Genomic DNA, 15,882 nt, shown 5'->3' with positions numbered 1-15,882 from the left:
TAATAATGAATCAAGAAGATTTAAATAAGTCAAACAAGATATTCCCAAACAAAAATGGCCACATTATAAGGAATTTTTTTAAACTATAATTATAATTGATGATTTTTAATACACTTCTAACAGAAACCAATAAAGCTGCAACAAGAAAAAAGGTGAGGATACCGATGTCATGAAGAACAAATATAAAACAGATTAGCCAACAAATAATAAATACATTTTCTATCAAAGAACGCATAGAACTTTTACAAAAAGTGAACAAGCACTTGGCCACAAATAAGTCTCAATACATTTAAAAACTTAATATCACATCAATTCTCTAATCATAATGCAATTTAAAATAAACTAGGCTGGGCCTGTAATACCAGCACTTTGGGAAGCCGAGGAAGGTGGATCATTTGAGACCAGGAGTTAAAGACCAGCCTGGGCAACATGACGAAACCCCATCACTACAAAAAATATAATACAAAAATTAGCCAGGCATGTTAGCACATGCCTGTAGTCCCAGCTACTCAGGAGCCTGGGAGATGAAGGTTGCAGTGGGCTGAGATCACACCATTGCACTCCAGTCTGGGCAACAGGGTGAGACCCTGTCTCAAAAAAAAAAAAAAATTAGCATGGCATGGTGCCATGCGCCTGTAGTCCCAGCTCCTCGGGAGGCTGGGGTGGGAGAACTCTTGAGCCCAGGAGGTGGAAGCTGCAATGAGCCATAATCACACCACTGCACTCCAGCCTGGACATCAGAGCAAGACCTTGTCACATACATACTCAGAAAAATAAAAACTAGACAACAGTAAACAAACAACCCTATGTGCTTGCAAACTAAAAAACACACTTCTAAATAATTACTATGAAAATCGTATAATATTTAGAACTAAATAACCATAAAAGAAATATACATCAAAACAAGTCCTGGAATATAGTTAACCTACAGTTGGAGAGAAATTTAAAGACTAAATATATTTATTAAGAAATAAGAAAAACAATAAATGAGGTAAATAAACTAAAAAACAAAAAATTAATCCACCCCAGTTAGAAGAGATCATTTGTCTTTATTTCTGTAAAGATTAATGAAATTTTAAAATAGCACAGATTAGCAAGAAAACCAAAGCTGGTTCTCTGAAAAGACCAATAAAACAGATAAATCTCCCAGGAAGCTTGATAGAAAAAGAAAAAGACAAAAATAAACAATATTGGAAAGCTACCAAAAGGAGGGGTGTACATGGTTATGGATACAGTCAAGATTTCAAACATACCACCATAGACTCAGTTTATGCTAATGTATTTTAAAACATACATGATATGAACACTTTTCTAGAACAAAAAATTATTTTAGAAATAACCAAAAACTATTCTAGAAATAGTACATCTAATCATTAAAGAAGCTAAATGCATAGACAAAAAGAATCCCCTTGAATAAAAGAACACTAGACTCAGACAGTTTCACAATTTTAATCAAAGGGCAGAAAATCTCTAATTATAAAAAGCTTCCAAGAAAAGAATCAAAAAAGGAAAACTATTCGGCTTCTTTCATACAGACAGAATGATACTGATATCAAAAACAGAAAGGAAAAGAAGTAGAGAAAAACTACAACACCCATTTCACTTTTGTTCATAGATGCAAAAAACCTACATAAAATTATAGCAATCAAATCTAGCAGTCTTTAAAGGAAAACAAGAAACCTGCCTTTGTAGTTCAGTATGTTAAAACATTAAAGGAGGGAAAAAGAACATACCAACAGCTGAATTAATTAGGGAAAAAATAAGTTTTGATACATTTAACACTCATTCAAATTAGGAATTAAGGGGAAGAATTTTAAACATAATAAAAAGAATCTACCAAAACCCTAGAGCAAACCTCAAATGTAGTGATTATTAAAAGTGGGCTTCTCAAAATCATAAACAAGGAAGCTCACCATCACTTTTTCTATTCCATATCACACGGGAAGTCCTAAACAGAGAAAAAGAGAGAATGTAGGAGAATTATCAAGGGACAAAATGATCAAAATTTGCATATAATTGTCTTCATCAAAAATCCAAGGGAATTCACAGAATGAATAAGAGAGTTCAGCAGGACTGAAGATCTGTGTGTATATAAACGCAGATGTAGCATCAACATCTAAAAATTCTACATTTATAACCAATTAGAAAATAGAAAAAATTCCACTTATTATATAGCAACTATTCAGTACCTTGAAGCAAATTATATACGCAAGAATTTTATGTAGTAAAATGATAAAACACTATTAAAGGTAAAAACCCATAAATGGAGAAGTATCATATTCGTGGAAAATTCAATAGCATAAATAAGTCAGTTCTCTACAAATTAATCTGTAAATCCAATGTAATTGCGATTTATGAGGGGGCTTGCCCTACCAGTTATTATGTTATCTTATTGTTTAGCTATCTGGTATTATAATACAGGAATGAAGCTTGAAAAATCTATCCACTTGAGCGATTAGCATCTTCCTTAGTCTATCCTTTCGGACAGTGATTATTTCCTCCAACAGAAGCAGAACTGCAAAAGGTTTTGGATTGAGGTCCCTGGGAAGTAGCATTCTAATGATCAATGCCAAGACAACAGGTGGCAAAACAGATACCATACTGTTATAATTTCATATTCTTGCTTACAGGGATGGCCAGACATTTTACTCTTCTACATGACACAGAAGTATTCTAGAAGATTCAGGTAGTGTAGGGAGTTACTCTGTTCATATGCTTCAGATGTGCACAACTCAGAGTACAGATAACAGAACAAGTAACAACTGGCCACCATATAATACTGTTTAGCTATCTCGTTTTATAAAGTAACTCGTGCTAGAATACAATAATAGTCCCTGTATATTTCTCATTTTAAGCAGGACTGTATCCCTAAGGATGCACCAGAACCAGGTGCAAAATACACTCTCAAATAACTGAACAAATAAACCTAATCCAGGTATTTAATACTATATGGTTAATGATAATGAAAATAACCGTTTTGATTGAGGCATAGCTGATAAAGAACTATATATAGAAAACAGATTAATTTGCTTAAGTACACTTTTGAACTGGGATAATCGGCCCATTTCATCAGAGAGAAGAAGATATGATTATCTTCCTACTTGCTGTGGTAAATTGGTCTGTGTATAGTTCACCTAAACACAGTACCTTTCAGTTTTAATTTCAAATATGCTTATAGATCATATGTAGATCATACGATAACTCTAGTTTAACCCTCTGATACAAACTGCCAACTATTTCCAAATTTTAATCTAGTTATTTTATATTAAAACGGAAGGGAGTTGTTAAAAGGCACTTTTTTATAAGGGTATGTATGATGGCAAATAAAACAGACATCGCCTCTGCCCTTGGAACTTACAGTCCAGTGGAGACAGACAAAAAGGAAATTCACAAATGAATTTATTGTAACAAATTATGCTAATTAGAAAGAAAAATCACTGAGACAATGAAAAAGACCAACAAGGGAGCCTACTTAGCATGGTCAAGGAAGGCCACTCACATTACAGGTTGAAGGCGTGTGTGACTGTCTCTTTCCTGAGATAGAAAGAAAACCTGGAAGAGTTTTTGGAACTAAAAGGCCAGTGAAGCTGGAGAGTTTTAGGGGGAAAAGGGGAAGAGGGAATAAGATCAAATAGAGGAGGCAGGAGGAGCCACATCGATCAGAGCTTTTGAAATGCAACAGGAAACTACTGTAGAATTTTAAGCAAAGGCATGGTAGATCAAATTAAAAGATTACACTGGCTGCTGTGTGAAAACTTGGGGATGAGGAGTAGAATGGGCCAAGAATGAAAGCACCGTTGTCAGGATAGTTGTAATTACACTGAGAACAGATAAGAAAAGGAATATTTGAACGAGAATGGTAATTCTGATTGCAGTGGGAAGCATCCTTTCAATTTAGAAACCAACCTAAAGGAAATTTACACAAGGTAAACTCTATGAACTTGATATTAAGCGAAATAACCTAAACTATCAAGTGAACTAACTATTCGTGGCAATTCCTGCTACCCAAATAACTTCCAACAGTATCTTGCTGTTTACTTGGGCTACGTTTTAAATTAAACAACATGCTTACTTGGGCTAAATTTTCGCCCACTTCAAATATCTTCTAATACGCAGGCGAACTACTCAGATCAAAGACAAAGAAAGGATAAACGGCAGGTGAACGAGATGACGAGAAGGGAATGCTGCAGAGTGAGTGGTCCCGAAGATCCAGCCAGTCTCCAGAAAAAAGTACTTGTAAGCAGCCTCATTCAGATGAAAGAAAGAAGGAAAAGTTCAACCGCCGAATTTCTTACTTATATTCTTCCTCCAAGGCGAGGAGGTCGGGTCCAGGTGTAGAGGGTTGCTGAACGGGTGGCGGGAACGGAGTCCCTGGAACGCTGCTTCTCTGTAAAAGAGCCACAGACTTTCAGACCCGAAGTTAAAGGAAGTTAGGCGTCCTAGTCGCCGGAACCCAGACGCTCCCCAGGAGCCTGGAGTTGAACTGACCGTGAGACACAGACTTCGCCCCGCCATCTTCGGCGACTGCGACGCGGTTACCGAGGCAACGACGCATCTTCCCGCGAGAGTTTCCACATCCCGGTTGCCTCCCGCCCGGGCGCCTACGCCTTCCCACTCTCAGGTTCTGTGCTGCGAGCGGCGCGAGCCTCTGGCAGCGGGCTCGGCCTTTGCTCGCAGCACTCGGCGCTGTCCCAGGAACCCAGGAAGGCTTCCTAACTGCAAATTCGACTTAGTTAGTGCAAATTCTCAACTTGTGGGGGTTGAAAGAGTTTCAGCCAAAACAGGCAGGTCCTTTGCCGCTACTCTATAGAAAGCAAGCTGGTGAGGCAATCCCTCCCTGTTGTGCTTTTCAAACCGTTAGTGGCTAATCCGACCTTCACCCCGTTTGCTTAAAGTGAGCTCTTCAGTGGAATTCAGAAGTTTTGATTTCTAATTTTTGTTTACAGCATGCATGGCTAAGACTCAGGCTCTCAAGTTAGTCAACCTAAATTATTATCCTGGCACTGCCACTTACCAGTTATATGGCCTTGGGCAAATCACTCTGTATATCGGCCACTTCATTTGTCAAATGGAAGTGAGAATAGTGCCCACTTCACAGTTATTATGAGAAGCAAATGAATTCGTGCTTAGGATCATGCCTGAAACACGTAAGCGGTTAACAATTTCAATTGTTTTGGAATAAAATTGACATCCAAAAATAAACCGTGATATGATGTATGGTCATCTGATCTTTAGAAAGGGTGCAAGACCATTCAATGGGAAAATAATTGTCTTCAACAGATGGGGAGACAACTGGATATCCAAATGCAATTAGACCCTTAACTTCACACCATATACAAAAATTAAAATGTATCAAAGACCTAAACTTAGGAGCTAAAACTCTAAAGCTCTTCAAAGAAACTGTTGGTGTAAATCTTTATGACCTTGAATTACAATTCTGAGAATCCTTGATGGATTCTTAGATATGACACCAAAAGCAGTAGCAAAAAAAAAAAAAAAGAAAAGAAAAAAGAGGCTGGGCACAGAGGCTCATGCCTGTAATCCAAGCACTTTGGGAGGCCAAGGCGGGTGGATCACCTGAGGTTGGGAGTTCAAGACCAGCCTGACCAATATGGAGAAACCCCGCCACTCCTAAAAAAAAAAAATTAGCCGGGTGTGGTGGCTCATGCCTGTAATCCCAGCTACTGGGGAGGCTGAAGCAGGAGAATCGCTTGAACCTGGGAGGCAGAGGTTGCGGTGAGCTGAGATTGCACCATTGCGCTCCAACCTGGTCAACAAGAGCGAAATTCCATCTCAAGAAAAAAACAAAAAAAAGGAAAAAAAAATAGATAAACTAGACATTATCAAAACTAAAAACCTTTAGTTTCAAAAGATACCATAAATAAAGTAACAAGACCACAGGAAGAGGGGAAATTCTTGCAAATTATATATCTGATAAATAACTTGTGTCTGGACTATATAAAGAAGTATTAAAATTCAAAAATAGGTAGGTGCAGTGGCTCATGCCTGTAATATGAGCACTTTGGAGGCTAAGTCAGGAGGATCACTTGAGCCCAGGAGTTCCAGACCAGCCAAGGCAACACAGCAAGACTCCATCTCTACAAAAAAAAAAAAAGGAAATAGATAAATAAAAATTAGCTGGGTCCAGTGGTACATGCCTGTAGTCCCAACTACTAGGAGACTGAGGTGGGAGGATCACTTGAGCCAGGGAGATCAAGGCTGCAAAGAGCCATGGTCACACCACTGCACTCTAGCCTGGGTCACAGAGTGAGACCCTGTCTCAAAAAAAAAAAGAAAAACAATTTAAAAAAATTTTTAAAAAAGACAACCCAAGTTAAAAATGGGCAAAGAAATAGGGATTTCTCCAAAGAACATATACAAGTAGGCAAAAAGCACATGAAAAGATGCTCAGTATTGTCCTCAGGGAAATGAAAATTAAAACCAAAATGAAATGCCACTTGACACCCACTAGAATGGCGATAATCAAAAGGATGGATAGCCAGGCGCGGTGGCTCACACCTGTAATCCCAGCACTTTGGGATGCTGAGGCGGGCAGATCACCAGAGGTCAAGAGTTTGAGACCAGCCTGGCCAACATGGTGAAATGCTGGGAGATAGAAGTTGCAGTGAGCCGAGATAGCACCACTGCACTCCAGCCTGGGTGACAGAGGGAGACTCCATCTCAAAAAAAAAAAAAAGGATGGACAATAACGTGTAGAGGAGGATGTAGAGAAACTTGAACCCTCATAAACTGTTAGTGGGAATGGGAAAATTGTGCAGCCACTGTGGAAAATGGTCTAGCAATTCCTCAATAGTTTATACACAGAGTTACCAAACAATCCAGCAACCACTGCTAGGTATACACCCAAGGAAAATGAAAACACACCCACATGAAAAGTATATGTACAAATGTTTATGTCAGGATTATTCATAACAGCCAAAATGCAAAACAAACCCATAATGGTCATAAACTGATTAGTAATTAAATAAAAAGTGGTATATTCATACAATGGAATATTATTCAGAAATGAGAAAGAATGAAGTACATGTATACCACAATATGGATGAACCTTGAATATATTATGCTAAGTGAAAGAAGCCATTCACAAAAGACCAAGTATTATCTAATTTCTTTCACAAAAGATCACATACTATAGGATTCTATTTCAATATGACTACATATTGTAGGAAATGTCCGCAATAGGCAAATCCATAGTGACAGAAGTAGATTAGTAGTTGTCTAGGCTTGGCAGATGATGGAGGGTTAGCTAAGGAGTTGCAGGGTTTGGGGGGCGCTAGTGAAAATATTCTAAAATCAATTGTGTTGATGGTGTACAACTCTGTGAATACACTAAAAGCCAATTAATAGTACACTTTATATGGGTAAATATAGATATGTGAAATAAATCACTCAAGCTGTTAAAACATCTTAAAAATAAACTATTTACAACATCGAGGGATAAAGAAAGGAACACTATGCTAGCACTAATCAAAAGGAAGCTGGAGTCGCTATATTAATTTCAAACAAAGATGACATCAGAACAAGGAAAATTATCAGGGACAAAGAGGAGCATTAATGATAGAGGTCAATTCTCCAAGGGGATAGAACAATCCTGGTGTAAATCCTCCTAACAGTAGTGTCAAAATGCATGAGGCAAAAACTGGTAGGACTTGCAAAGAGAAATAGACAAATCCATCATTATATTTGGAGACTTCAATACTACTCCTTCAGTAATTAACAGGTTAAGCAGGCAGAAAATCAGCAAGAGTTGCTCTGGACAGCACCATCAATTAGCTTGATCTAATTGACATTTATAGAATACTCATTTCAATAACAGCAGAATACACATTTTTCTCAAGGTCGCATGGAACATTCACCAAGCTAGAACACATTCTAGCCATAACACACTTTAATAAATTTAAAAGAATATAAATTATATAGTTTAGGGTAGCTGTAATAAAGCACCACCAAGTGAGTGGCTTAAAACAACAGAAATTTATTGTCTCATGGGTCTGGAGGCTAGAAGTCCAAAACCAGGCTAGAAGTATCACCAGGACTATGTTTTGCTTGAAACCTGCAGGGGAGACTCTTTCTTTGCCTCTTTCTAGCTTCTATGGTGGCTGTCACTTCTTGGCATTCCTTGGCTTGCAGCTGCATCACTACAACCTCTCTCTGCCTCTATAATCATGTAGCATTTCCCCTGTGTGTTTCTGCTTTTGCATGGCATTCCTGCTTTTCATGAAGACTCCAGTAATATCGGATGTGGGCCACCCTAATGACCTCATCCTAACGTGATTACATCTGTAAAGACCATATTCACAGGTACTGGGGGTTAGGACTTCAATATATGGTAGGGAGGGGGAGGTGGCACACTTTAACCTATAACCGAAATTATACAAACTATTTTATTGTGGTCCCAGAGCACAATAAAACTAAACTAAAAATCAATAACAAAACAGCTGGACACCCACAAAATATTTGCAAATTAAATTCATACTTCTAAATAATACATGGATCAAGTAAATATCTAGAGGAATTAAAAAAACATTTTGAACTAAATAAAATTTGAAATATAACTTATCAAAACCTGTGGAATGTTATGAAAGCAGTGCTTGGAGTGCTTAGCATTCAATGCATATATTAGAAAAGAAGAAAAATCTAAACTCTGAATGTCTACCTTCAAGGCAGCTAAAGGAAAAATATTAAACTTAAAGCAAAAGAAAAGTAACAATAAACATTAGAACATAAATCAATGGAACTGAAACAGGGAAACAATAGAGAAAATCACAGAAACCACAATCTAGTTAAAATCAATAAACTTATAGCTGTGCTAACCAAGAAAAAGAGAAGATCCAAGTAACCTGTTCTGTGTTATTTTCTGTGATGGTCAGTCAGGTGTGGCCATGAGAGGAAAACAACATTTATTATACTCACAGGTCCTAGAAATAGGACGCATGCCATGCCATACAGGGTTACATGGGGAAGCCTCGGGATAGTCAGGAGGCAGAAAACAGGAGGAAGAGAAAAACCTGGACTAGAGCCTCTATTGGAGTTTCCACAGGAAAAGCAAGGTAGAGTAAACCCATTAGGATTGGCTACTATGAATAATTTCAGAGGGCCCCGGAGTATAAAGGTTGTCCTTAATTATCTGGTACATAGCTCTGCAATGGCTAAGACAGAGGAAGGCCTGTTGTATATGGACCAGACAGAAGAGGTATGGCTTCATATTAGTTTTTTATATATCAAAGCCATGCTCCCTGGCTAAGCCCTTTTGCTTAGCTAAGAATTGGCTTGCCCCAGGAGGAAGCAGTTTCTCCCAAGCCAGAAAGGATTTTTTAAAGATGTCTAAACATCATAATATACAGAAAATTAAAAAATATAAACAATACAGTACCAACATTAGAAATGGAAAATAAGTCATCAATTGTCCCATGAAAATTAAAAGGATAATAAAGGAATACTATGAACTCTATACCCCAACATTTAATAAATTAGATGAAATGGACCAATTACTTGAAAGATACAAACTACCAAAACTCATGCAAGGAGAAATAGATAATCTGAGTAGGCAAGGACATTGAGTCAATAACCTTCCAAGAAAGAAATCACCAGTCCCAGATGGTTTCTCTGGTGAATTCTAACATACATTTAAGGAAGAAATAACAATTCTACATAATCTTTTTTGGGAAAATAAAGGCAGAAGGAACACTTCCCAACTCATTCCATGACTCTAGCATTACCCTAATACTAAGAGCAGTTAAAGACATTATAGGAAAACTACAAGCTGATATCCCTCATGAATATAGATTTTTAAACCCTTAACAAAATTTTAGCCAATATAATCCAACAATGTCTAAAAAGAATTATGCAACACAATGGAGTGGGATTTATTCTCAGTATACAAGGATGGTTCAATATTCTAAAATCAATCAATGAATTCAGCACATCAAGAGGATAAAGAAGAAAAATTATATGATCATATAAATTCATGCAGCAAAAGCATTTGACAAAATCCAACACCCCTGAAGGTACAAACTCTCAGAAAACTAGGACTACAGGGAAATATCCTCAAGTTGATAAAGAACTTCCACAAAATATCTACAGCTTAATGAAATTGGATGCTTTCTCCCTAAGATCAGGAACAACACAAACATGTCCTTTATCATCATTATTATTTAATATTACATCTGAAGTTCTAGCTAGTGCAATAAGACAATAAAAGGGAATAAGGAGTATACAGATAAGGAAGGAAGAAATAAACCATCTTTGTGTATAGATGACATGAATGTCTATAAAGAAAATTTTTTTAAAAAAGAAAATCCAAAAGAAGAAATAAAACTCTCCTGTAACTAATAAAATGATAAAAACAAAATTTGTGTATACATAGAATGGACAATACAATAATATTCAGCCTTAAAAAGAAATGAAATTCTGAGACATGCTACTACATGAATGAAACTTGAAAGCATTTTGCTAAGTGAAATAAGCCAGACACAAAAGGACAAACATTGCATAATTCCACTTATTTAAGGTGCCTAGAAATGGTTAATTCATAGAGACAGAAAACAGAGTTTACCAGGGACTAGGGAGAGAGGAAAATAGGGAGTTATTTTTTCATGAGTACAGAGTTTCTGTTTGAGATGATGAAAAAGTTCTGAAAATGGATAAAGATTATTAAATCATTGCACAACTTTATGAATATATTACATTTAATGCCACCAAATTAAAATATGGTTGACATGGTAAATTTTATGTATATTTGACCACAATAAAAATTTCTAGTAAAGGGGTATCCTATAAAATATCCAACCAATACTCCTCAAAATTGTCAAGGTCAACCAAAACAAGGCTGTGAAACTGTCACAGCCAAGAGGAGCTTAAAGAGATATAACAGCTTTGTAAAGTGATTATATTAGTCTGTTCTCACACTGCTATAAAAAATACCTGAGACTGGGTAATTTATAAAGGAAAGAGGTTTAATGGACTCAAAGTTCTGCATGGCTGGGGAGGCCTCAGGAAACTTAACAATCATGGCGGAAGGAGAAGCAGGCATGTCTTACGTGGCGGCAGGAGAGAGAGCAAGTACGTGAAAGAGGAAATGTCAGACACTTATAAAACCATCAGATCTCATGAGACATCACTCACTATCACGAGAACAGCATGGGGGACACCACTCCCATGATTCAATCACCTCCCACCACGTCTCTCTCTTAACACGTGGGGATTATGGAGATTACAATTCAAGATGAGGTTTGGGTGGGAACACAAAGCCTAACCATATCAGTGACATACTGGACCAAACCCTAGAATAGGAAAAGACATAGTAAAATACAAGGAATTCTGAATAAACTATGGACTTCAGTTAATGTATCAGTAATGGTCTACTAATTTCAACAATTTAACCATATTAATGTAAGATCGTAATAATAGGGAAAACTAGGTGCAGGGTATATGGGAACTCTCTCTACGATATTCTCAGTTTTTCTGCAAATGTAAAACTTCTAAAAAATTAAATCTTTTTTTTTTTAAGTTAAAAGGGATTTTCTTCTTCAACAAAATTGTGAGCTAGATGATCTGGGACACCCTTCCACTGCACAACGACCAGATTCTGGAAAAAAAAAAAAAACTTATCTATGCATTACTGAACTTGAAGAAAGTAGGAGAAATTTCCATGTGTCCTCCTGACATCTCATTCTCCAGATCTCTTCCCCACAAATAAACAAGATCTTCTGATAGTAGGCATTTAAGAATAAAAAGGTTAAGCTGAGAAAATGCCCCAGGGAACTGTATTCAGAAAACAAGGCTTACATCAACAGCAATATGGAAGAGCTGAATCTGAGACCTCTGTGCTAATCTAGAAACCAAAAAGGCTAAAAGTCATTTAGACTGGTAGTGCCCCAACGGTCCTAGCAGATTCAAACACAAATCTTTTTCAAGAAAAAATTTCTAGTTAAGCCCACTAAATTCCCAGGTTAAGATTAAGACAATGTGAGTTCACCATCAAAAATCACCAGACATAAAGGAAGCAAGTCACCATAAGTGCAAAATTAGAAGAAATAACAAATATTTAGACTTCCAATAAATTCAGATATTAAAATTTTATCAGCTGTGAAATAGAGAAAATCTATTTAGAAAGAAATAGAAATAAGGGACAGAATCACAACAATGAGCAAGCAAAAAGAGACCATCAGGAATGACCAGGCAAATATGATAAATAATCAAATGAAGCTTGCAGATATTAAACACATATTTGTTGAAATGAAAATACTCAATGGACAGGTCGAATGGCAGATTATAAACAGATAATTAGTAAACCATAACATATCTGAAAAAATTATTCAGAATGAACAGAGAATGGTTAAACAGTACTGAAGTTAGACTGAAAAGATCTGACATATAAAAAAATCGGATTTCAAGAAGGATAGATTTGAAAAATTGAGAAGCAATACTACAAAAGTTAATTCCTTAGAATTTTCCAGAATTTAGGAAAGATACAAATATGTAAGTTCAAGAAGCATGGTGCATCACAAAGAGGATAAATTTTTAAATATATTCCTGGAGCTGTCATAATGCCAAAACACCAAAGAAAAAAGAGATCTTTAAAGCAGCCAAGAGGAAAAAAAGACAAATAACCTACAAAGAAGCAATTAAAGTAGGTGTTTTAATAGCTACAATGAAAGCCAGAAATACAATAAAATAATTAGCAGAATTTGATGATGATAAGCCCCATTATAATGAAAATTTGGATCAAGCATGCTTGGTTATTAATGACCAATTACTCACTAATGAATGGCAGCCTTCTGTCTAGTTCTATTCTCAAACTGGGTAGGACAAACTTCTATCTTCTGAATTTATAGGGTAGGGGACATAGTAAGGGATTGGTGGGAAAAGTCAGCACTCTATCTCAGGAAACAGTGAGCCTGAGGATGACTCCTTTATTGACAGTATTCTTATAGCCCTATCTCTTTTGATTAGACCGACTAAATGGGACCCAGCTAAATACGAGATCACTACAATTGCTGCCACTGTTCTGGAAGTCCTAGCCAGTGAGACAGGATCCAGAATTGGCACCATTTGACATTTATTTTGGAGCAGATAGCCACCACCACCACCATGTGATGCCAAACCACAACCAGGATGAGCAAATATTTTAATTATAGAGCCAGACCACTGGAACTTCTAGTCAAACAGCTAGACAGGCTCAAGTGACTCATTTCTTTAATTATCACAATAAGCCCACTCTTCTTTTCAGGAAGTTAAAAATATTCAACCTCACTAATCTTAGTATGAGGGGATTTTACTGTATCTTAAAAGTGATCAAAGAAAATAATTTCAGTTTAGAACTGTGCACTCATTCACCAATACTGTATTGCAAGATGAGGGTGAAATAAAGATATCTTTAGATAAATAAAACCTAAGAGATTTGGCACACACGTATGCCTACCAAAGGCACTTCTAAAGTACATGCTTTAGGAAGAAAAAAAACACTAGTGGAGTATTTTGAAACACCAGAAGAATGGTGAGCAAACAAGATGATAAACATGCATGCAGGCCTAAATAAATAATTTATCTAAAGGTCCTACTAATAATAATGTCTAGTTTGTGGAGTTTATCAGAAAAAGAAGACTAAAACATTGGATTCTCATCCAACTAAGAATAGAAGGGAACTTCTTCAACCTAATAAAGGGCATCTCAAAAAAACCCTACATCTAACATTATTTAATGATTAAAAAATCAAATGCCTTCCTCTTAATGTCAGAAACAAGACAGGCATTTCCACTGTCATCACTATTTATAATCATACTGAAGAACTGAAGGTTCCACCTTGTATAACGAGGCCAATCAATTGATAATCTTAGAAATGAAGAAATAAAACTTTTTGTTCATAGATGACATCATATGTACTTAGAAAATACCAGACTACAAAAAATTCATGAAAGTAGTTGGCGAGTTTAGCAAAGTTTTAGGATGCGAGGTCAATATACAAAAATTAATTATACTTCTATATACCATACTATAAAATTCTATTCTATAAAATTATAGTTTTATATACTATAAAATTTGATTTCCAATTATTCATAATTAGTATGTTCATAATTAGTATGAACAATTGGAAATCAAATTTTAACATGCAGTACTATTTACAAATGCTTAGGTATAAATCTACCAAAACATGTACAAAATATGTATGCTGAAAGCTGCAAAACATCATCAGAAAATATCAAAGATAACTAAACAGAAAGATACACTGTGTTCATGGATTGGTGGACTCAATATTGTTAAGATGTCAGTTCTCTCCAATCAACATCCTAGCAAAACTTTTGTAGAAATTTATCAGCTGATTCTAAAATTAGATGGAAAGACAATAGAATGACTAGCCAAAACAATTTTGAGAAAGAATAAGAATAGCAATGTTGAAGAATTAACAATAACTGATTCCAAGACTACAGTAATTAAGATGGTTTAGTGCTGATAAAAAATGCAGACATGTAAATCAATGGAAAAGAAGAGACAGTCCAGATGTAGACCCACAAATTTTAATAAAATGAAATGGAGAAAGGATAGTTTTTTAACAAATACTGCTGGGATAATTGTAAATCCATATTTTAAAAAAGCTAATCTTGATCCATATATCACACCATATAGAAAGTAATTTGACAGTGTCTCATAAAGTTAGACATATACTTATAATACAACACAGCAATCTAGGTAATTACCCAAACAAATGTAAGCTTGTGTCAAACACAAAAGACTATATACTGAATTATTTCACTAATATTAAGTTATGGAAAAGGTAAAACTATACTGACGAAAACTAGATAGATGTTTGCCTAGAACTGGGAATGGGAGGAAGGCGCTGACTGCAAGGGGCCATGAGGAACTTCTGGTCATGTTCTATATATTGATCATGGGCATGGATATATGACTGTATATAAATGCCAAAGCTTACTAAACTATACACTTAAAATAGGTAAATTTTATTGTATGTAAATTATTCCTCAATCAAACTAGGGAAAAATAAATTGGCTAAATTATTCCTCAACCTTCCTTGAATTCAGTTTGACTTACTTGAGTCACTTTTTGACTAAGAGTCATCCATGTCCACCCTTCTTCATACAGTACTGTCTTCTGTATCATCAACTGTTGTTCAGTCTTTATTAAAAGTGCACCACTATTTTCTATTTTCTCCAGAATTTTCTTCCATGCCTCTAAGTAACACCCATTCTACAAGTTTTGATGTAAATGTTCAAGCAATTATAATCATATTACTTTTGCTGCTTGCCTGACTGTAAGATGCCTCTGACTTCAGATATATTAAAATGTGAAAAAAATGTACATCTTGGAATTGAAATGTGATAGAAGGGAACAAGGTTTAAATACTTGTGAAATAAACTTTGTTATTATTATGTAATAATCTCTTTATCTCCAGTAATGCTTTTTGGTTGGTCACTTTTACCTGATATAAATATAACTAACACAACATTCTTTTGATTTTCCTGGTATGTCTTTCCCCCACCTTTTTACTTTGAGAGATCAACCTTGCTTTTACAATTAAAGGGCTCTAGAAACCTAGTGTTGGTGTTCAGCAGTGTCCATGATGACTGATGGAGGTAGTTATTTGACAAAGCAGTAACAGTAGTTTAAGATAAGACTTGTTAGTATACAAGATACACCTCCAGGGACTCCCAGAAATACTTGGGGAACATTGCAGATGTGGCTGATGTCCTCTGCAAGCACGTGGAGCAAAAGCCAGTGACATCTGAGTATTAATGTAATAATGATTCCTGTCTCTGTCCTCAGTTGACTTAATTCAGAATACATATATACAACATATAAAAATGTACTTAAAAGCCAGGAAGGATTCTACTAACATGTTAGCCT

General features: G+C 36.0%; 1 protein-coding gene across 31 annotated transcripts in view, besides 3 other annotated features; it reads right to left on the bottom strand.

The window, feature by feature from the left end:
* Positions 1-15,882, bottom strand: part of TEX9 (testis expressed 9) — a 216,038-nt gene that overhangs the window by 90,045 nt on the left and 110,111 nt on the right. For 16 of the 31 annotated variants that reach the window (NR_169562.1, NR_169561.1, NR_169560.1 and 13 more), the window contains exons 1-2: positions 4,489-4,540; positions 4,296-4,387 (exon numbers count right to left, since the gene is read on the bottom strand). The exons of 8 other annotated variants lie outside the window; for them this stretch is intronic. Coding sequence is in view for 12 of the 23 variants with exons in the window: in XM_047432466.1 (XP_047288422.1) it covers positions 4,296-4,387; positions 4,489-4,515 (119 nt within the window). In the remaining 11 variants the exon portion in view is untranslated. Of the gene's footprint in view, positions 1-1,913; positions 1,959-4,072; positions 4,388-4,488; positions 4,541-15,882 lie in introns of those variants that run through there. 7 more of the 31 variants (NR_169563.1, NM_001286449.2, NM_001385045.1 and 4 more) reach the window with 3 other exon arrangements.
* Positions 4,247-4,296: an enhancer, noted in NCBI's record as "active region_9453". NCBI's record gives its function as "activates an Ori minimal core promoter by ATAC-STARR-seq in GM12878 lymphoblastoid cells {active_cell/tissue: GM12878}" and the evidence as "EXISTENCE:reporter gene assay evidence [ECO:0000049][PMID:35858748]".
* Positions 4,837-4,886: an enhancer, noted in NCBI's record as "active region_9452". NCBI's record gives its function as "activates an Ori minimal core promoter by ATAC-STARR-seq in GM12878 lymphoblastoid cells {active_cell/tissue: GM12878}" and the evidence as "EXISTENCE:reporter gene assay evidence [ECO:0000049][PMID:35858748]".
* Positions 4,897-5,076: an enhancer, noted in NCBI's record as "active region_9451". NCBI's record gives its function as "activates an Ori minimal core promoter by ATAC-STARR-seq in GM12878 lymphoblastoid cells {active_cell/tissue: GM12878}" and the evidence as "EXISTENCE:reporter gene assay evidence [ECO:0000049][PMID:35858748]".

The sequence above is a fragment of the Homo sapiens genome, chromosome 15 (genome assembly GCF_000001405.40).
Source record: "Homo sapiens chromosome 15, GRCh38.p14 Primary Assembly".
Taxonomy (NCBI): Eukaryota; Metazoa; Chordata; class Mammalia; order Primates; family Hominidae; genus Homo; species Homo sapiens.
Note: the sequence above shows the minus strand (reverse complement) of the source record. Positions and strands in the feature narration are given on the sequence as shown.